At 35.7% G+C, this 22,757-nt stretch overlaps 1 protein-coding gene across 10 annotated transcripts in view; it reads right to left on the reverse strand.

Annotated features, from left to right (window-relative positions):
- Window positions 1–22,757, reverse strand: part of CSMD3 (CUB and Sushi multiple domains 3) — a 1,214,012-nt gene that overhangs the window by 246,443 nt on the left and 944,812 nt on the right. For all 10 annotated transcript variants that reach the window (NM_001363185.1, XM_017013010.2, NM_052900.3 and 7 more), the window contains one exon: window positions 3,221–3,337. In NM_001363185.1, the coding sequence (NP_001350114.1) occupies window positions 3,221–3,337 (117 nt within the window). The remainder of the gene's footprint in view (window positions 1–3,220; window positions 3,338–22,757) is intronic.

Genomic DNA, 22,757 nt, shown 5'->3' on the forward strand with positions numbered 1-22,757 from the left:
TGGTTATATGTGATTTTCTTTTTACATAAGGATGTTAGAGCCTTAACCCCTATGTAAAATGCAATCCAATGAATGCACTGAGTGTATTTGACAGACGTGCTAAATCAGTGGTTCCCAACCTTTTTGGCACGAGGGACAGGTTTTGTGAAAGACAATCTTCCCATGGGATGGTTTCAGGATGATCCACTTCAGATCATCAGGCATTAGTTAGGTTCTGATAAGGAGCGCACAACCTAGATCCCTCACATGTACAGTTCACAACAGGGTTTGCACTCCTATGGGAATCTAACGCCACAGCTTATCTGACAGGAGGTGGAGCTCAGGCAGTAATGATAGCTCACCTGCCACTCACTTCCTGCTGTGCGGCCCAGTTCCTAACAGGCCAAGGACCAGTACCAGTCCATAGCCCAGGGGTTAGGAATCCCTGTGCTAAACGATGTAAAAGTCATGTTCTAAGAGCATCTGTATATGAAACATATAGAAGAAGGAATGATCATAATTTGGGATAAATGACAGAAAAAGAAAAAAATGTGAGAAGTGATATGTGATGAAGTAATACTGAAAAGTAATAAATATAGCTCAACGTGGCAACAGAAAAAAATTATGGCAAAGTGAGAATGAGAGGAAGCAGAAGCAAAATAGAAATCTGATTTGTAGAGATCCAGTAACTACTGCTTGACCATCTGTCATCAAAGAGGTAAAGGAAGGTAATACGAAGAAGTCAACAGTCAGTATTTGTTTACTACCATTATCCTACTCCCAGAAAATTGTACGGGATCATTAGATGATTGAATAGTCACTGGGATATAAAACCCAAAATATTTGTTTTCATGCTTTAACTAAATAACACAAATAATTGTTTTATTTTAACCATGCTATTTTTAAGACCTTAGTTCAATCCAATAATGCATGTCATTTAATTTAACCTTTTTCGGGGGTGGAAGAGGGGATAGGGGAAGTTTTATATGAATGTGAACATAAAGAAGAATGTGTATATGTGTACTTGTGTATGCATGTGACTTACTATGTTATTACGCCAATCACTCACATACATCAAATTATTATAAAATAACCACATAAGGTAGGTATTTATCATTGCTACTTTAGAGATGTGTAGGGTTCAGGCTGACAATGGGACTTGTCCAATGAAAATAGCAAGTAAGTTAAGTTGAGCCTGAACCCAGAAATCTGACTTGAAAGCTGGCATTCGTTAACCCAATGATATTAAGCATGAAGTATGTTAGACATACTTCACATGTATATATATGTATATAATATATATATCTCATTTACTGCTCACATCTCTAATCTATAAACAAAATGATACCAAATTTACAAATAAAGAGGCAGTCTCAAAGAGATTACGTAACTTGTCCAAGGGCAGATAGCTAACATGTGACAAGGCTGAAATTAGAATACAGGTGCTTAAATATATATGTAACTTAAAATGAAGAATGATGCAACATTTGTAAAATAAAATTAGTTTTTTACTAATAAATCAAAGTACACTTTGTTTTGTCCACAAAAAAAACAAGAAGATTCATTTAAAAAAAACAGTTTTAAAAACCAACTATTATTGGCTCAACGTAGCAGTTTTTTTATATTAAGAGGATTAAATTCAACTTATATTAACCCTACAAAACTATAGATTTCATTCTTTAGGAATCTGTTAATTTACTTTTATTTCAATTAGTACTTTTTCTTTCTCTTTTTGAGCATACATAGGCTACAGTAATACATCTCCAGGATGACCAGCATGTCTATTTGTCAGGACATTAAATGGCTAATTTTCCTCTTTCTCATTCATTTGGCCACATGGCCTCCCAAGAACAGAGTATAATACGATAAATTAATGGCTTCCGAAGAGGACTCAGAGAGCCATGAAGTTTTCTGGATAATCATTGTTAGGATTCTGTCAGCAACCATGTAACATTTTTTTGCATCTGGGGAGCATAAAACTCTCTAGCAAAGGAAGGACTCAAAAGGCAAAAAATAAACACAGTTAAGTGAATGATATTTTTCTTTCTAAACTGTCGTTTTCTTCACTATCAAAGACCTAACCTTTGATTCAACCGATCAATATGTTAGGGGAAAGAAATACTTTGTAGAGTACAAAAACAGACACTTTGCTAATGCTGGCATCATCACTCTATTTCAATGTTAAAATAAAAGGTTTAGTACTACATTTCTGATGACAGTACTCTCAAATAAGTTGAAGATCTTGGACTTGTTTCAGAAGGATGAAAAGGAGGATATATAGGTAGTATCTGGTTATAAGAAATTGGACTGGAAGCATCAGCTTATTTTATATCTCAGCAGCAGAAATGTTAAGTCAAGATGCTATTCAGCTATCTCTAATGATAAAATCCATGTCCTTCTGCTGATATACTGAGTCATCCAGGCCCAGACATTCCTCATAGTTATAACAAATCCTTTACTATGTAACACAATGCTGTAAATCTAAATTTTAGAAGTCTGTGAACTTTCAGCCTCTCTCTCACACTTTACTGCTCTCTAAATTTCCCTTGCCTATCCATCTGTGAACAGAACTTAATCTAGGTTAGCTCCAGCTGGATCTCAGAACCAAAACCTTTAAAAGCCAGATAAGTGACTTCTAAGACGTGTGATCAGAAAGATGTGAAGGCAGCAAAGGACACATTGTCTTCTTAGTGCCAATGCAGAACAGATTGTCAGGTTGACAAGATGAGCTGAAATGTCCTTTGCTGTCTTTTTATATTTATTGCTGCCCCAGAAACTAGATGCTTAAAACCAAAAACTCTTCTTTCTGGAAATGTGTTAATAAACTATAAAATTGATATGATTGCTTTGTAAATACTTTTGTTACTATTGTAATAGTTCAATATTTGACTTAATACATATTTTACAGAGCAGCCTTGGCTTTATGCTCTGGTAATTTCCCATTTTATAAAATTCCAATATGAAGGCACTTGCAAGGTTACTGATATACTCATTTTTAAAAATTAAAAACAATCCTGTTTTCATTTTTGTATTGTTGTTCACCTGTGTACTTGACTGTAAATTCAGATTGAGTAAGATGACCTCAAAATTGTATTATTACAAAATCACTATCTAAAAAGAATTGCATAGTAAAATACTTTATGGATAGCACGTATTTTCATTTAAAATTTTTGAATAGCATGTAGTGAAAAATAAAGCATGTCTGGATGAAATACTACATAATGAGTCGAATCTTACTTACCAAACTCCTTTGGAACTGCTATAGAATAAACACAATTATGTCCCACACTGTAATTTTTTGGATAGTTTGGTGATAGAACAGTGCCTTCTGAACCTGTTGAACGACTTCCACAGGGCGCTAGGAAAAAATGGCAAAAATATCATTTTTAGAAAAAAGTTTTAAAAAATTCATACCATGGTTATCTTCTTCATATAAAAAATATATGGCTAATGGAATTTAAGGTGTATAATTTATTTGCATCTTATAATAAGATCCTCTAGTGTTAAATATTTGAAAAATAAAAAAGTGTACAAACAAAACTTTATAAGTATTCAAATTTACTGTTCTCAGAAACAAAGTATGTAATATAATGTTATAATGGTGTTACCTAGAAATATAATGGTGGCCCACCTTTCATTTGTGATGAGTGTGAAATTAATCATTTTTATAATAATGATAAAATACATATGCAAGTGGGAAATTGTTTTACTTGCTGGCAGGCTTTGGAATTCTACTCAGATTCAACACTGATTATGTGTGAGACATGGATGGCTGTACAAATACATTCACCCACTCATCTAAGTATTCTATTTTCTCATCAATCTTTATCTGCATATATAATTTACTTTGAAATCACAGGAGTTGTTGATTGTGCCTTGAGGCAGACTTATTGGCTACCTCAGGCCCAATGTGGTATGTTAAAAAAAAGATGAGGGTGAAAACAATGTTTCTGATAAACTGTATATGGGGGTCCTGTTATTCACAAGACAGGGGATGCATTAGGATTCATAGTTCTAGAACTCAAGAGAGACCTGAGATAAATGGAGATTTAGTACCGAAAGCATACGGATGGTAACTGGTATTCTTTAAGCGAATAAGATCACTCTGAAAAGTATGTAGAATGAGAAAAGATGGGCAAAGAGGAGGTTCTAGGAGACACCAAAGGTTTAAAATCAGATAAAGATTGGGTAGCTACAGAGAAATTATTATCCTGGGGGTCAAGGGAGAAGAGTTTCAATGAAAAACAAGTGTTCAAAGAGGTAAATGTTGCAAAGTGATTAATAAATGCAAAAGAAGTCTGGGTTGACTTGGCAATCTGGAGTGTAAGAGTGGAGTTTTTCTGCCCCAGGTGTAAGTTTGCAGGAAGAGGGATTTTTTTTTTTTTTTTTTTTTAACACCTTGCCATCTGGCCCTGCTCCTTCACCCTTGGAGTCAGAATGAGTTTCCTGATTGGTGAGCCCTGGACAGGAACTTGTACCTTTTTTCAGATTAGGAGCCATCCTTCTTGCAGAGCACACTGTCTGGTGTGCTCTTCTACACTGTAGGTTTTTTAGGGCGCCTTCTGAGGGTAGGGCTGAGCCTGTTGCCGACAGCTAGTAGGAAGCCTGTTGTCACTGCCACTCATATTTCATCAGTATTAAAGCTGATCGTTTGATTTCCTTTGAAGTTTTGCAGGAAGGACAGAGTACAATTTATTATTCCCCTCAAACACCAAAAGGAGGTTTTTTGGTGCTATTAATAGAGTAGTTTCAACTGGAGCAGCTCTCTGCAAGTTATAGCCAGCAGGCCAAATCCAGCCTGTGGACCAAGAAAGGTTTTTATATTTTTAAAGAGTTACAAACAAAACAAAAACTACAGAAGAATATTCAACAAAGATATATGTGGCCAGCAAAGCCCAAAATAGTATCTGGTCCTTTACAGAAGAAGTTTGCCAACCCCCGAACTAGAGTGGGGAGGGGGCAAGTGGGGGAGGCTAGATTATAGATGGATGGAGAGTAAGTGGTATATAAACAAATACAAAAGTAACAAGAATTATGACTATAAATTGGAGGGGAATGTATAAAGTAGTTTGGAGATGCAAAGTTGAATGAGTGTTCTTTGTCGATTTAATAGGGAGGAAGGAATCATTACACAAGGAAAATCAGCATTGACCTAGAAATAAGATCAAAAACAAAAGTGGAGTGATTCCCATTAGATATCAGTAGTGGCTTACCTCTGTGACTTGAGAAAAGGAGATTAGAAATAGATAGGTGTAGGTTTTATACTGGGAATTTATTGAAGTTAATGCCTGATTTTCCTTTTAAAGAGCACTGCATGCAGGGATGAATTAGGTACCTCCAGAAGAGTTATGACAGTTTGAAAAAGTAAAAATTTGTAATTAATTATTGATCAAAGTTTTAAAATAGAGCAATACAGTATAGTTAAAACACACACAACACAAACAGTACGTTGTATTGCGTTGAGTGATGAATATTCTGCCTTTTTTCTTTAATGTTCTATAAAAAGGTAATAGTTAGAATTAAACACACTAAAATTAGAATTATCTAGAAAAAACAACAAATTGACAGTGATTATAATAACCAAAGATGCACCCCTCTCATCACTCATTATTGTCTGAGATTAGAGCAGTCAGGTGTTATTCTTATTTCAGCACTGATAACTTCATTCAACTGATAATGCTACTGATGAGAGAATCATTCAAGAATGGGCAGTATGTCTTATGTTAATTTTCTTTCTGATTTTAAGGTGCTCCAGAATTAAAATTATAATACTTTGAATGAATGTGACAAAAACTATTAAACTCTTATTTTTATATTTGGGAAGTATGATAGAAATGGAAACTTCTAACTCAAGTTCAGTTCTGTAACTTAGTCATGAACATTGTGCCATCCTACATTAACACGTGTCTGACAGCCAGAATTTGTTTTACATATTTTATTTTGTATAACTGACATTTAGGACAGCTTTTATTAAAAATCATATTTAGAAATATGAAGGCTCTTTTAAACTACAAATATACTATGAGGTTGTAATTTAATCACATGTCCTTATGGTAATATTATGTTAGATTCTGTTATTTGTACTTGTAAACATAATTTTATGTTTATTCTGATGAGTGCCTACAGCGTGGCCTAATTTATAGTCAATAACACAGAATATTATAGTGAGTGATAATTATGCAGTGTGTTATTATAAATAAGGGAAAATTAACTATGCTCTGAGATACACATCTATTGTAATTTGTTTTACCTTAGGTTGGTGCAAAAGTAATTGCGGTTTTGGGCATTACTGTTAATGGCAAAAACTGCAATTACTTTTGCACGAACCTAATATTTATATAAATGGAATAATAAGTCAGGCCAACTTCACAGATTCTCCTAATATTGGTCTCCAGAAGCTTTTTATATTCTTACTTTCTGTTTTAATGTCATCTTATTGGCTAATGGAGAAAAGGGCAGCTTTTATCTTTCTGGCTCTTAACAACTGGTTGAAGATAAAAGCAAGTCAGACCTTTGGGTTCTATTCTTATTTTTGCTATTTGACATATGCCACATATACCTGTGGACCTTTTGTCAAATTGGCTGTTGTTTCTCTTAAAAGCCTATATTCTTTGTAATGCATTAAACATAAGAACCCACTGCTCCTGATTATAACTTATGTAGTTAATAAATCCATATTTGCATTTTTTAATTTATTTTTATTTTTATTTTTTGAGACCAAGTTTTGCTTTTGTTGCCCAGGCTGGAGTGCAATGATATCATCTTGGCTTGCTGCAACCTCCACCTCCCAGGTTCAAGAGATTCTCCTACCTCAGCCTCCAGAGTAGCTGGAATTACAGCCATGCACTACCACGCCAAGCTAATTTTTGTATTATTAGTAGGGATGGGGTTTTACCATGTCAGCCAGGCTGGTCTTGAACTCCTGACCTCAGGTTACCCATCTGCCTTGGCCTCTTAGAGTGCTGGGATTATAGGCGGGAGCCACCACGCCCGGCCTAAATCTATATTTTTAATAGCATGTTTGTAGAACATTTGAATTTAAGAAGACATGGTTCTATCATTAAGTAAGTGTGGGAAATACAAATGAAGGACTTGAGACTTTAGTAAGTTTTAGGGAATATCATGCTATTTCTCACAAACTTATTTGACCATGAAAAATTTTTTTACATGTAATATCTCACAGGACCTGCCTCCTTAAGAACATACTTTGCAAAAGGCCAAAGTGATGATTCTAAAATGTGGGGGTTTTTTGGTAATAATTTTAATGTTTATGTAATTGATAATAATTAATTGTAATTTTGCTGTACCAAAGAACTGTGTTTTATGTATGCCTATAGAACCCAATAATTTAGAGACTGAAAATGTCAAACTTAGCCTACTTATAAATTGCCATTATTCTAGATTTGCTCTCCCTGACTCTTGGCGTCCAACAAAGAATCAATTTGTTGCTCATAACCTTATGTGATTTATCAGCTTCTCTATCACCTCTGCCTCTATAACTGTCACAGTCCAGACTCCCATCAATTTCTGCATGTGCTCTTTGACTCTCAGCTCCACTCATCACCACAAGTTCATACCACTGGTAGCAATTTTTCTAAAACATAAGACTTATCATATTTCTCTTCTCTTCTCTTCTCAGGACAGTGTCTGTACATAGTAGGCTCTCCATAAATATCTGTTGGATTATTAAATGAACCATATCTGCAAGACCAGGCTACTATAAAATAATGTTCTGTAGTCAGCATATAACATAAACATTTCATTTGGTTGAAATTATCTCAGAAAAAATTACTTAAATTTAGTACAGAATCCAGATACACCCTCTTTCAATAAATCCATATAAGCCTATTTTTTTTCTTTCTGCGATGGAAATTGCTTGTTCTTTGCTTGATTGCTGTGCTTTACATTTGGGGGCAATACTATGTGAAAGATATGTATCTTTAAACATTAGAAATATATCCAATGGTAAGATGCTTATAATATGACTGCTATATGGATTCTGGGTTCTATTGAGGGAATAGCAAACCCATGTCTAATACCAAGCCCATAGTAGCAAATCCATGCTGATATAGTTTGAATGTTGGTGCCATGCCCCCCTCAAATCTCATATTGAAATGTAATCTCCAGTGTTGGTGGTGGGGTCTGGTGGGAAGTCTTTGGGTCATGGGGACAGATCCCTCATGAATGTCTTGGTGCTGTCCTAGCAATAGTGAGTGTGTTCTCCTGAGATCTGGTCATTTAAAGGTATATGGCACCTCCCCATTCTCTCTCTCATTCTCTATCTTGCCATGTAACATACCTGCTCCCGCTTTGCCTTCTGCAAGGATTGCAAGCTTTCTGAGGCCCTCACCAGAAGCAGATGGTGAAGCCATGCTTCTTGTACATCCTGAAAATCCACGAGCCAATTAAATTTATTTTCTTTATAAATAACCTAGTCTCGAATATTCCTTTATAGTAATACAAACAGACTAACAAATTGAAAGCAAAATTTGACTAGAAAATTCCTATCAAGCTGATATGGTTTGGCTGTGTCCCCAGCCAAATCTCATCTTAAATTCCCATGTGGTGTAAAAAGAACCTGGTGGGAGGTCACTGAATCATGGGGTCAAGGCTTTCCCGTGCTGTTCTTGTGATAGGGAATAAGTCTCACAGGATCTGATGATTTTAAAAAGAGGCGTTCCCCTGCACTAGCTCTCTCTCTCTCTTTGCCTGCAGCCCTGCAGCCGTCCACGTAAAATGTGACTTGCTCCTCCTTACCTTCCACCATGATCGTGAGGCCTACCCAGCCATGTGGAACTATAAGTCCAATAAACCTCTTTCCTTTGTAAATTGCCCAGTCTTGGGTATGTCTTTATCAGCAGTGTGAAAACGGGCTAATACACAAGGAGTGGGGTGTTACTATAAGGATACCTGGAAATGTAGAAATGGCTTTAGAAATGGGTAATGGGCAAAGGTTCAAAGAGTTTTGAGGCCTCAGAAGATAGAAAGATAAGGAAAAGTTTGGAGTTTCTTAGAAACTACATAAATGGTTGTGACAAAAATGCTGGTAGAAATATGGACAGTGAAGTCTAAGTTGACAAGGTCTCCGATGGAAATGAGGAAGTCATTGGGAATTGGAGCAAAGGTCACCTGTATTATTCTCTAGCAAAGAATTTGGCTGCATTGTGTTCATGTCCTAGTACATGTCCTAGAGATCTGTGCAAACTTAAAGTTAAGAGTGATGTCTTTGGGTATCTGGCAGAAGAAATTTCTAAGCAGCAAACCGTTCAAGAGGTGGCCTGGCTACTTCTAACAACCTACTGAGAGCGGCAGGAGGCAGCCAAATGCCCAAGAAGATAGGGGTGGGTCCGTGGTGAAACCCCACCTTCAAGCAAAAAACAGCTTGAAGGCTGAAAGACCAGACTGCTGGTCCTGGATGAAACCCGCGACCCAGAGTGAGAACTTCTGTTCCTGTTCGCCTGCCCTTTCCTAATTGATTCTTTCTAAATAATGTCTTTTACCCAATCGAATGCTGCCTTTTCCAATAGTACCTACAGCCTGCCCCTCCCCTATGCTGAGGCCATAAAAAGCCCCAGACCCAGCTATGCACAGAGGAGAGAACTGCCCGACTGTGAGATTGGGGTACCACCTCCTGCATCCCCTCTCCACTGAGAGCTGTTCTGTTGCTCAATAAAATTCGTCTTCACCCTCCTCACCCTTCAATGTCCAGAATATCCTCCTTCTTGGGTTCAGTACAAGAGCTAGGGAACTACCAACTGCGAGTACAAACTATAACAAAGGCAAGCTGGGACACATCAGCGTGGCCCAGTGAGGCCCAGGTGGGGTGTCGCTGGCCAGAGATTCACGGCTTTCAAAGTGTTGGAGAAGAAAATATCGTACATCACTATAGTTAGCTACAGGAGCAAAGACATGACTTAAAGTTGGAGCTTATATTTAGAAGGGAAGTAGAGTGTAAACGTTTGAAAAATTCACAGCCAAGCCATGTGGCAGGAAAGAAAAAATGCATTTTCAGGAGTGGGATACAAGCAGGCTTGTGGAGCAATCACTTGCTAGAGAAATTAGAATGAGTAAAAGGGAGCCAAGTGCTAATATCCAAGACAATGGGGAAAAGGTTTTGAAGGTATTTCAGAGATCTTTCAGGCAGCCTCTATCATCACAGGCCCAGAGGCTTAGGAAAAAATAATAGTTTCCTGTACCAGGCCCATGGCCCTGCTGCCTGCCTTGGGAGGCTGCTCCCTGCATCCCAGCCACTCTGGCTTCAGCCTTGGCTCAAAGGGGTCCAGGTACAGCTCAGGCCACAGCTCTGTAAAGTGCAAGCCATAATCCTTGGCAGTTTTCACATGGTGTTAGGTCTGCAGATGCTCATAATGCAAGTGTGAAGGACGCTTGTCAACTTCTGCCTAAATGTCAGAGAATGTATAGAAAATCCCGGGTGCCCAGGCAGAAGCCTGCTATAGGGTTGGAGCCCCACAGAGAAACTCTACTAGTGCAATGCCAAGGGGAAATGTGGGATTGTAGAACCCACACAAAGTCCCCACCAAGGCACTACCTTATGGAGTTGTGGGAAGTAGGCCACCACCCTCCAGACCCTATAATGGCAGAGGCACTAGCAGCTTGCACCTCTGCCTGGAAAAGCTGCAAGCACTCAACTCAAACCTTTGAGAGCAGCCACATGAGCTGCACCCTGCAAAGCCATAGAGGCGGGGCTGCCCAAGGCCTTGGGAGTCCACCCCTCACACAAGAATGTGGGACATGGAGTGAAAGAAGATTATTTTGGAACTTTAAGATTTAATGATTGCTCTGTTGGGTTTCAGACTTGTGTGGAGAATATTGACCCTTTCTTTGGGCCAATTTATCACTTTTGGAATGGGAATGTTTACCCAATGCCTGCACTACTATTGTATCTTGGGAGTAAATAACTTGTTTTGATTTTATAGGCTGATGGGTGGAAGTGCATGAGTCTCAGATGGAACTTATGACTTTGGATTTCATGCTGGAATGATTTAAGACTTTTGAGAACTATTAGCAGGGGATGATTGTATTTTTCAATGTGAGAAGGATATAAGATATGAGGGGCCAGGGGCAGAATGATAGTGTTTGGATGTTTGTCCACTTCAAATCTCATGTTGGAATGTAATCCTCAATATTGGAGGTGGGGCCAGGTAGGAGGTGTTTGGGTCATGGGGGAAAATCCCTCATGAATGGCTTGGTGCTATCCTTGCGATAGTGAGTGAGTTCTCCCAAGATATGGTTGTTTAACCATGTAGCACCTTCCCCCTCTCTCTCTTGCTTCCTCTCTTGCCATGTGATGTGTCTAATCCCCCTTCACCTTCCACCATGATTGGAAGCCTTCTGAGACCCTCACTAGAAGCATGGCAGACCACATTTCCTGTACAGCCTGCAGAATGTGAGCCAATTAAACCTCTTTTCTTCCTAAATTACCCAGTTTCAGGTACTCCTTTATAGTAATGCAAACAGACAAATACACATGCTAATATCTTATCAGTCTAAGGAATATGCTTATTTAGTGAGTGAAGTTTTATTCACACAGTTTCTTAGTTTTCTTGTTCTTTATTCTTCTATTTGTTTAATTTAAAAAAATTATCTTTTGGCTGAATTTGTTTCATTTGATTTGTATAAGTAAAATGTGTCCATGATCCAACTATATTACATATATTCTTGTTTTACCCATGAATTATGTATGCAATGATACAGTAGACAGATGTGATATTTCTGGAGAAATCAGACCATCACACCACCAGGTTTTAAGGTATCCAATCATCCACTGAAAATACCACTTTGAGCAGGGGTATGTATGTGGGATGAAGGAGCAAGACAGAAGAATAGAAGAAGAAAAGAAGAAGGAGGAGGAGGAGGAGCAGAAGAAGAAAAGAAGAAACTTATCACTGAGTGAATTAGAAGAAATTTCAAAACATTTATGTGGGAGAAATGCTACTTGAATGTTCAGGTATCTTAGAGACATTATAATACAGGCAACATAGCCTTAAGCTACTTGCAATTTCACATCTGTCTCTTCACTTGTGTAATGCATAATTTATTATCAAATATACTCTGTAATGAAAATTATTATATAATGTATAAATTATTCACAGAAAGCAAGTTAGGTACTTTTAAAAGTGATGACTTCTTGCAGGTCACAAAAGAGCAATGTGATATATTAAATCAATAATTTACTAGATGTGGCCTGTGACTCTTTCAGTTTGAAAGAACTGCTGTACCTTACAAAACTGCTAGTATATTTCTAGTAAATTACTTATGCATTGATATAGCCTGATTGAATGTCACAAATCATAAATCCTAGTATAGAATATGTTTGAAAGCTATATCTCTCATGGAGCATTTTTTAAGAGAAGGCTTTCCTAACCCTTAAAGTCTGTGATATGAATTTGAATTCAGACAGCTACTATTACCAGTATTGACTTTAAAATTAAAATTACTACTGTTTGTTTCTTTTGTTCAAAAATTTGATCTTAGTAAAAATACCTAACTATCCAGCCATTCCCTTCATGTCTTTTTATGTCTCCCCTATAACAACACATAATTCATTTTGTTTAACTGCCTTAAATGATAAGCCTCCAATAATGCTCCATTACATGTGAATTGACTTTGTTTAAATTTCACACTTCTTTTTAATACTAAAAAAAAAAAATTCCATATCAGTGTGGTAATCAGTGGCTTATAAACCATTTTAATGACTCAATAAGTCATGTTAGGATGTAAGCTTCTACACCTGTCATCTCACTGATTGCCTGGATTCATTCATTAGATTTCCCTGGCTAGGAAGCCATCACCTTCATCCCTCAGTGCTCTGTGAGCTGTTTTCTCCATCAGAGAGTGTGATCCTACAGAAAGAGTCATTCTATGACAAAGTCCTATGAACAGCTATATCCTTGAATAGATCTTCCATGTTACCACATACAAATTCTACTACTAGTAATAGTTTTGGAGGGCATAGACAGTTAATGTATGATACTATGTGACTCATTTTGTACCCCAATTAAAAAATTGGGATATAATTTACATACATAAAATTCACTGTTTTAAAGTGTACAATTGAATGCTTTTTAGCATATTCATGAGTTTTAAAACTAACACCATTTTCTAATTTTAGAACATTTCCTTCACTCCCAAAATAATTTCAGTACCCATTAGTAGTCGCACGCTGTTGTCACTACCCCCAAGTTCCTGGAAACAGCTAACTTTTTAGGAAACTGTATGGGAAGATAATTTCTTAAAAGATCTGAATTATTGGCAGTTTTTGAAACTAAAATAGCTTTTTATCACATAGTTGATGTCTTACTGCTTTTTAATGATGAAAACCTTTTACTATTTAAAGAAATTACTTAAAGCAACTAATATATTAGTTTAAAATGACTTTAAAGGGAAAAGCGCTCTTTAATAATTTGTTAACTTCTACCAAATCGCCTCAAAAATGTTGCTTTCTTGGGAATGTTTTCTCTAATTTCCAGACTTTTTCAGAAACCACCATTACTTTTAGGACAGTAAATGCAGTTTGTAATTCTGTATTTATTTTGTATGGCTATTTGATTAATGTCCATATCTATCTCTAGTCTATAAGATCTGTCAAATCAAAGTTTCCATGTCTTTTCTGCATACTATTTGTATCTCTGGAGCCTAGCATAGTACCTGTTTTTATAATAGGTTTCCAATAAATATATGCTGTATTAGGAAAAATGACAAAATGTAAATTATTAATATCTTGCTATTGACTAAATACATGGAGTATAAAACTCATAGATTTAAAAAATCCTTCCATTTAGGATAGCATGGTAGAGTACAACATAAAACTCAGCACATTGGAATCAGGTTTAGGTTTAGGCTGGGCGCGGTGGCTCACGCACATAATCCTAGAGCTCTGGGAGGCAGAGTCCAGTGGATCACTTGAGGTCAGGAGTTCGAGACCAGACTGGCCAACATGGCAGAATTCCATCTCTACTAAAAATACAAAAAAATTAGTCAGGCATGGTGGCAGGTGCCTATAATCCTAGCTACTCAGGAGGCTTAGGCAAGAGAACCAGGAGGCAGAGATTCCAGTGAGCCGAGCTTGCGCCACTGCACTCCAACCTAGGCAACAGAGTGAGACTCCACCTCGAAAAAAAAAGAAAAATAAGAGAAAGGTTTAGGTTTAAATTCCAGCTTCAGTCTTTACTGACTGAGTAGCCTTAGGACAGAGGGAAATACAAACTTGAACTGGAACAGGAAGTGTCTGTTAGATCTGGTATGTAGTGTGGGTTTAGGAAAATGAATTAGGGAACTGCCCTGATCTACTCCAGAATCTTCTGCTGGCAATATAATGAGGCTTTTGTAAGGCCTTAGGAAAATGAACTAACCTCATCAATCTCAGGAGGATACAAAGCTTAGAGGTAATAGCAGAAGAAACTTTCTTAGTAGTTTGCCAAACTGCTCCCTTGACAGAGGTAGGAATGCCTTTAAGTGATCCTACTTTGAGCACTGTCACTCTCTAGGAGAAGTTCATGGCTTGTATTTTCTTCTCTTAATTTTTCTCTAAGGATCAAGAGCAGAGTACTCCATCCCAAAGAGAGGAAGCCATGTCAATTCAGCTGTTTCTCAATGGTTGAGGTCACTGCCTGGCTGTTGAAGGTCAAGGTGGATGTGGTCCTCTATTTTTCTTTAACTCTTTATCTTCTAGAAGCCTGGGGTGAAATAAGACTACTAGTAGCATTGGCTGTTATTCCACCTCAGACTTCTAAAGAAGAGAATGTGACTCATCTTCTCCTTTCCGTTATATTCAGGAGCTCCTTTCCTTCTTCCAGAAATTTAGATGAAGAAGAAAAATGTCTATATTTTCTCTAGACTTTAACCGAATTTTTTTCTAACTGAATTTTAGCATTTCTCTTAATTACAAATGTAGGCAACAAAGCACATGAATAGTAAAAGTTAACTGGGACTTTGTCACCAGTAGAAATTATAGATTTTTTATACTGCATTATAATCGTTTCAGATACCTCAAAATGGTGTATAAGGTAATGTTACTATTACCTTAATACCATTTGAATCTTGCCATGACTACTAACAGTTACTGTTATATACTTTATTTTCTTCACTTGTAAGAAGATAATTACTAAGTTGATTCAACACACCCACACACACACACACACACACATATATATATATGGTCCAGTAAAACTGACAATACACCAGGAAGGTACATTTGAGGTCTCACTTAAATGTAGACTACATGGTAGTTGAGAATGGGGCACATCTTCGTACAATGAGAATCCATATGACTGTCCATCTGGAGATATGGTTTAAATATGAACCCCAAGTCAATGGTAACAATAAAATGCAGGTTGAGCATCCCTAATTCAAAACGCAAAATCCAAAATGCTCCAAAATCTGAAATTTTTGAGCACCAACATGATATTCAAAGTTCATGTTCAAAGAAAATGCTCATTGGAGCATTTTGGATTTGGGATTTTCAGATTAGGGGTGTTCAACTGGTAAGTATAAATGCAAATATTCCAATATCCGAAAAAAATCTGAAATCGGAAAAACTCCAGTCCAAGCATTGTGGATTAGGGATTCTCAACCTGTATACTCTGAATTATAGGCATTGATTTGCAAATTACTTCTTACATTGGCTACTCCACATAGTATGCTCCAGAATCCATAGCAGCAGGGATTTGTTTATAACAATGTTAATGATTCTCTAGACTAGCATCCAGGAGGCCAACTGGAGACAGAGTGTATGTAAGACTGTCAGAAAAATAGCAAGTGCTCACTAACATTAGCATCTCTTCTTGTTTCCATTTAAATAATAATTTTCCCCTATCGTATGAAAACAAAATATGCTTTGGTTTTATCCCAATGCAATGCAAAATACATTAAAATACATTACGCTTCTCTATTGAAAACCTTTCCAACACATAATCTGTGTATTTTATCCGTGAACAAAATTCCTGTGTGCTGCTGATGAAAAGCAGATATTTGATGATACACAGACATAATTTACCACTAAGCATTTGTTTTATGAATCTTTTGTCTGCATGCTTTAATTATATTACATATTTAAATGATTTCAAATGCCAATGGCTCAGTATATTAGATTAGATAATCTCTATATGCATTGATAATGGAATGAGACTCTAGACTTATTTCACACCCCCAAAAAATTTTGTAAACCTCAAGGACATTTGACATAAGGATCTTAGCACAAGACAAGTCATGCCATTTAAACAAAATATCTGAAATAAAAGTGTAGTTATTTATTTCTGAATTATATATACCCAAACAATATGATTTCATTAAAAGTAAGGCATATGAATAATTGGTAAATTAGAGATGACTTTAAAGTTGGAAAGCTGTAATTATAAAATTGACTTCTTATTTTTTGGTTTGTTTCAAAGCTTTCTCTTTAATTAACAGGGTAAGAGGGCTCTTCTTTTAAAAGCTTGTATCATTCCACATATACTTGGAAGTTGAACAGAGAATGGTGCCAGAAGACCGCTGGATGTCTAATCTTAACATATTTGTGTTTAGGCACTTTTGACAGACCTTAGAGGTCATCAGTGATTGAGTGACTTAAATCTTTTTTTTTTTTTTTGCATAATCCAGATCTTATATCAGCATATGTGAAACAAAGGTATTGAAAAGAACAGAGCTAGCGCTGGCTAAGTATATCTATATAGGCCTTTGTATACTGTCCAGAGTTGTATTTCAGATGAAATACAAAAATGCATTTAAGATGAAAAATTCTATCAGGTTTTTTTTTTTTTGGTAGGAATTTACATTCTCTTAATTCTCATACTTAGCCTGGAGGAAGATTTCAATCTCACCACTTATTCTTAGTGCCATACATCATTTGTAAAACATTAAACCAATTAAAATATTCCAGGCACTCTTTGGTTCTGGAGATATAAAAAGGTCAATACAAAGTCCTTTGCAGAATTAACCAGTCTACCTATAGGGCAGTGATTAAGATCATGGCTTCATAAGAAGACTGCTAACCATGTGTGACTTTGAACTAGTGGATGAACCTCTCTCTGTGTCTTGGTTTCCTCATCTATAAAATGAGAATATTAATAGTCTCTACTTCATGGCATTATGGTGAAACACAAAATAATATGTAATATTATTATTACCAGCTTGATACAGGTAAGCTGTCATCTGTCAACAATCCTCCTCCTTATGCTCTTGTTCTACTGAATTACTTGAAATTCCACCAGCATTTCCTATTTGCTCTTTACTTCTACATGTTTATATATGCTGAACCCTAGTTGTGAAACACATAATCTCTTTATTTCCTGTGGCTCACCTAGTTTCTTCTTACTTATACTTTTAAAATTCTGTTTACATATCACTTTCATAAGGAAGCCACCCTGATCTCTCTTCACAGCAAGATCAGATGTATATCCATGCTGTGCTCACAGTACTGTTTTTATTTCTAGCAATGGACTTTACCTATCTGTATCTCATCAGATTATAAACTCTCTAAGGGCAAGGACAAGGTTGAATTCATGTTGTTATCCCCAATTTTAAATGCAGGACCAGGCATAATGGTACTTTTAACACCTGACTAAAAGGAATCAACAAATGATATAATCTTTTCTTTGGAATAATTGGTGAGCTAGTAGTTCATTAACAGTCTAAATATGTTTATTCTTAGGGTCATATATTATAACTGCCTATTAATTGGATGCTCACTGTACGTTGTAACAATGGAAAAGATTAAGAATATTTCATTTGTACGGTGGTCAGTACTCTCTAGTTTAATGATTTACATTTGAAAGTTATGAGGTCCTGAAAGTACTTTGGGCTTTACATACATCAAATAAATCTTTATTCAGGATATAGAGTTGCAATTTTAGAATAGATATTGATTCTGTCCTGGGAGCTCTGAGGAGCACGGGGAGGGTAAATAGGAATTTTCTTCTAGTAAGAAGACAAGAGATTAGATGCCTGAAGAAAACAAGAGAGCTAGACAGCCAGAGAGCTGGGGTAAAAATAATCCAGGCTGAAAGAACAGCATGTGCAAAAGATGTGGGGCAGAAGTCTGATCAGTGCTTTGAGGAAATATCAAGGAGCCTGGTGTCACTCAAAGAATGTAGCAGAGGGAGGAAACAATAAAGAGGTCAGGGTGTGTATGAGCAGATGAAGTAGAACTTTGGATTATAAGATCTTTGGCATTTATTCTGATTTGGGAAGCCATTGGTGGATTTTGAGTAAATATGATATAATCTGAATTATGCTCCAAAGATCACTCTATTGTGTTTGGAAGATACTATATGGAGAACAAAGGAAGGAGAAAAACTAGTTAGGAAAGAGGAAAAGAGGTAAGAGACGGCAGATGCTCTGGATAAGGTTAGACCTGCGCCATTAGATAAAATAAGTCAAGGCAACATGATTAGGTCAGATAAATCAAGCAAATAATATTAAGGGGAAAATCTGGAATCTGTCACTATTTTTGTTTTATTACCTTTACCTAATATTGAGTGAGATTATGGATAAGAATGATATATGACTTCTACTTTTATTCAGTATGACTGTATATAAGTAAATTACTACAGAGTTTTAAAAGATACTTTTTAAAGTAAGAAAAATAAACAGGGAAGAAATTATTTTCTAAACAAATTTTTTTAATCACAAAAGGAATTGTAGGCACAGATATGCTGTTCTGCTATTATTTAATATATATGACAATATCATCAGCTAAACTGCAAAGTTTCTCATCACTGAACAGGACTTACCACAGGATGCAATCATTTTGGATTTACTTCTGACAAATATAATCTCCCAGTGTCCAACTTAAGCTCTTAAAAACATTTTCTTCAGATTTAACATATACACTTAATCCTAAATCATGGTAAAAATCTATCTTCTAAAATAGACAAACTTTATAAATTGATTTGGTTCGGTTTGAGTTTACAGATATTTAACAAGAGCCTATTTATATAAATTAAGGTGTTACACGCTAAACACGATATTATAGCCTATGACTGCATGGAGCTTATGCTCTTCTAGGGTGCGACTAAGGCAACATTATAAGAAAAAGCGAAATGTAGTTGTGTTCTAAGAGTCTGCAGAATATGATCATGTTGGTATTTGCTTCTACACTAAAAAAATAAAGAATAAACAAAGAAAAAGTTTTGCTTATTTTCACTCCTAGGAATCACAGTTAACTTCCTACGTATGCACTCAAAAGCAATGCCTACCAGTCAGTCACAGTTTCATCAGAGATTTTAGTCAGGATACCTACTGTGGGATGGGACCTCGGCTGAAAAGCAGCAAAGGGCCAGTCACCTAATTCTCAAACATTGATAAAATTAGAAATAGAGGCGTACACATATTAATGTATAGCAAAAGCAATCACTAGAATAACCCCAAATAATATAACACTGAAACATTGAAGAGAGGGATTGTGTCTGTTACATCATCTTTTGTATCAGGGAATAATAAGATATTATTATCTAGAATTGGTAAATAAAGAAACAGATCTTCCTATGTTATATGGAGTTTTGGGAGGGGCCATCATAGCAATCAGAACTAGAAATCAGAATCTTCAGCTTCTGACCAATAAGAGGATAGAGAGGGATAAGGCAGATGACCATTGCTTTAAATATGAGCTACTTTTTTATTATTTTCTTAGTTATCATATGCATATCTCAGATAAAAATAAAAAAATTATCTTAAAAAAATAAAAAATAATTTGTTTTTACGAACAATGAACCCTCTGGCTTATTACACATACTTTAAATACTAAATTTGACTTTTAAGTATTAAGTTAGGCCAGGTGTGGTGGCTCATGCCTGTAATCCCAGCATTGTGGGAGGCCAAGGCGGGAGGATCACTTGAGGCCAGTAGTTCGAGACCAGCCTGGGTAACATAGTGAGACACTGTCTCTGCAAAAAAAATAAAAATAAAAAATTAGCTGGGTGTAGTGGCACATGCCTGTAGTCCCAGATACCTGAGAGGCTGAGGTGGGAGAACTGCTTGAACCTGGGAAGTACAGACTGCAGTAAGCCACAATTGCACCACTATACTCCAGCATGGGTGACAGAGTGAGACCCTGTCTGAAAAAATAAAAAAGATATTAAGTTATTACATCTGAAAGTCAGCCAGTCCTGTGTATAAGTGCTGAAGAAAAATAATTTGATATGTGACATTGATTAAGAAACAAAAATATATCAAATTCTCCTTATTGTGTGACAGTGACAGCCACAGACCAATGTTTAAAATAAGTTATTTAATATGATTTTCTCAACAACCTTGCAAATTACACAATATCTTATGATTAGATATACTAAATAAATTGAAAAGTCACGCAGAAACTCAGACTTTTTTAAAAAATTCATTGTTTAGTATTAAAGATATCTAGCTCTAAAACAGGATTTTTTGTTTTACTATACTAGAAATTATTGGTTGCAATCATAAACTTATCTTGAACTTCTTTTCTATTAGCTTAAAGAATTCACTGAATAAATTTTATTCGATTTCCATAATATCATGTCCATTTTGATTAAAAGTCTAATGATACTTAACTGATGGTAACAATTATCTCTTAGGGAAATTTTTAAATACTCAACACCTGTTTTTCAGGAGTGAATGAATGTGTGTATTCACATCATAATATAGATAAATTATTTTTAATTAATATTAAAATGACAGAAGTATACTAGTTAACCAAAACATAACACCTGATGCAAGATGTGATGCATGTTTATCAGCACTTTGCTTCTCTTGGAACTCTGCGTTGGAAATCACAACTCCCATATATTTATATTCCAACTTTTGTCAGAAACTTTACTAGATTCTCTATATGTGTTGTGTTTACTAATTGAATCTTCACAATAACTTACTGAATTAATAACTATTAATCTAGTTTTAGAGATTTAAAAGTCAAGACTCAGCTTGCCTTAGGTCACAGGTGTCAGAAGACATCTATTTGAATTCAGGTCTGCTGTATGCTCTAAATTGTCTGTAGATATGAACTATTCAACCAACATTAAGTATACTTAATTGGGCCATAAGTGATCCTATAAAATGGTTTTGGCTCAAAAGGATTTTTAAAAAAATATTATGGCACATTTCATGTTGAAACTGACATTTCTATGACCTATTGGAAAGGAGTATGATTATATTAGGTGGGCATATTCTTAGTGAAAGCATACTTTAGTCTAGTGTTCCTGACTTTTTCACCTGTCATTGAAAGCCATCTACTTAATCATTTATCCCTGCGATTAACATCTATCTTAATAATCTATAGTTTTTTGTGTCCTTTGATATTTCTGCATCATGACTTTTAGTTATTTTGAATCTGGCTCCTGGAAATTTTTCAGAAATTTTCTATAGTTTCCAAATGATCATTGACAGTAAAATTTGAAAAGTTATTTTCTATGTTTAATATTTTTTTCTAGCTAAATTAGATTTTTCTAATTCTAAATTACATAATACTAATTTATATGGTTCTAAATTCTAATATGATACAGTGACCCTTTCTCCTAAATTTCCTATAAACTTCCATGCCATCAATCACTTTTTCTCTCTTTGGAACAATTAATCCCAAAGTAGTTATTACTCTATTTATTCCTTTTGCCTTCTGATAGATGAACCATAAATGCAAGTCAAAAATTAACCAGCTGTTCTGGTAATGATGGACCAATCAGAAGATGTCTACCATTTCTTTGTTTCTTATAACAATATTTTGAAGTAAAAAATGTTAATCATCTCTATTTCATAGATGAGACAAAATAAATCCAGAGAAGGGTAAGTCAGAAATTGGGCACATGTAATTCTTATAAGTGAATACATTCTACAACTAGGAAAAATTACTATGTGTATTAGATATCAAAAATTGTCATTTATTTTCACTGAAATTAATAGTAAAAAATGCAATTTATATCATAGACCAATTCAAACACTTGAATGCATGCAGGTAAATATATACACAGAGGTATATTTATTGTATTTTATTTATTTCTTTATATATAACAGAGAAAAGTTCCAAAAGTAATATGTACTCTCGGCCGGGTGCAGTGGCTCACTCCTGTAATCCCAGCACTTTAGAAAGTGGAGGTGGATGGATTTCTTGAGGCCAGGAGTTTGAGACCAGCCTGAGCAACATTGCAAAAACTCTACTAAAAATACAAAAATTATCTGGGTGTGGTGGTGTGCACCTGTAATCCCAGTCATTAGGGAGTCTGAGGCAGGAGAATCACTTGATTGCGGGAGGTGGAGTTGCAGTGAGCCCGGATCACGCCACTGCACTCCAGCCTGAGCAGCAGAGCCAGACTCCACCTCAAAAACAAAGAAAAAAAGTACTCTCTCTATGTTCCTTAAAGTATACTTTTTTCCTATTATTTTATTAACTTTTAATTTAATTTTATTTGATTAACTTCTATGTCTATTATAAAAATGCTGGTCACAACCCAATGAATTGATTTTATGATTCACTGTTGGTGACCTATAGCTGGGGAAATCTGTCCTAGATGATATCACTTCTGTGTTAATTTTTGTACAATGCACTAGGATCATTCAATGGATTAGGGAGTCTCTAGTAACCCTAAGCAATGATATCACTGTTTCTCTGTTTTTCCTTTCTTATATAGAGAGAGTTATATACAAGTATATGATTTTTAAATATGCAGTATTATATCTCCTTCTAGACAACCTAATTCCTAGAAGAAATACATATTCTTCTTTATCCTTATTACAGATAAAGATTTATCACCAGTTCTTAATAATATTTAAATTATTAAATTTATCTACTTGTGTTGAAA

The sequence above is a fragment of the Homo sapiens genome, chromosome 8 (genome assembly GCF_000001405.40).
Source record: "Homo sapiens chromosome 8, GRCh38.p14 Primary Assembly".
NCBI lineage: Eukaryota > Metazoa > Chordata > Mammalia > Primates > Hominidae > Homo > Homo sapiens.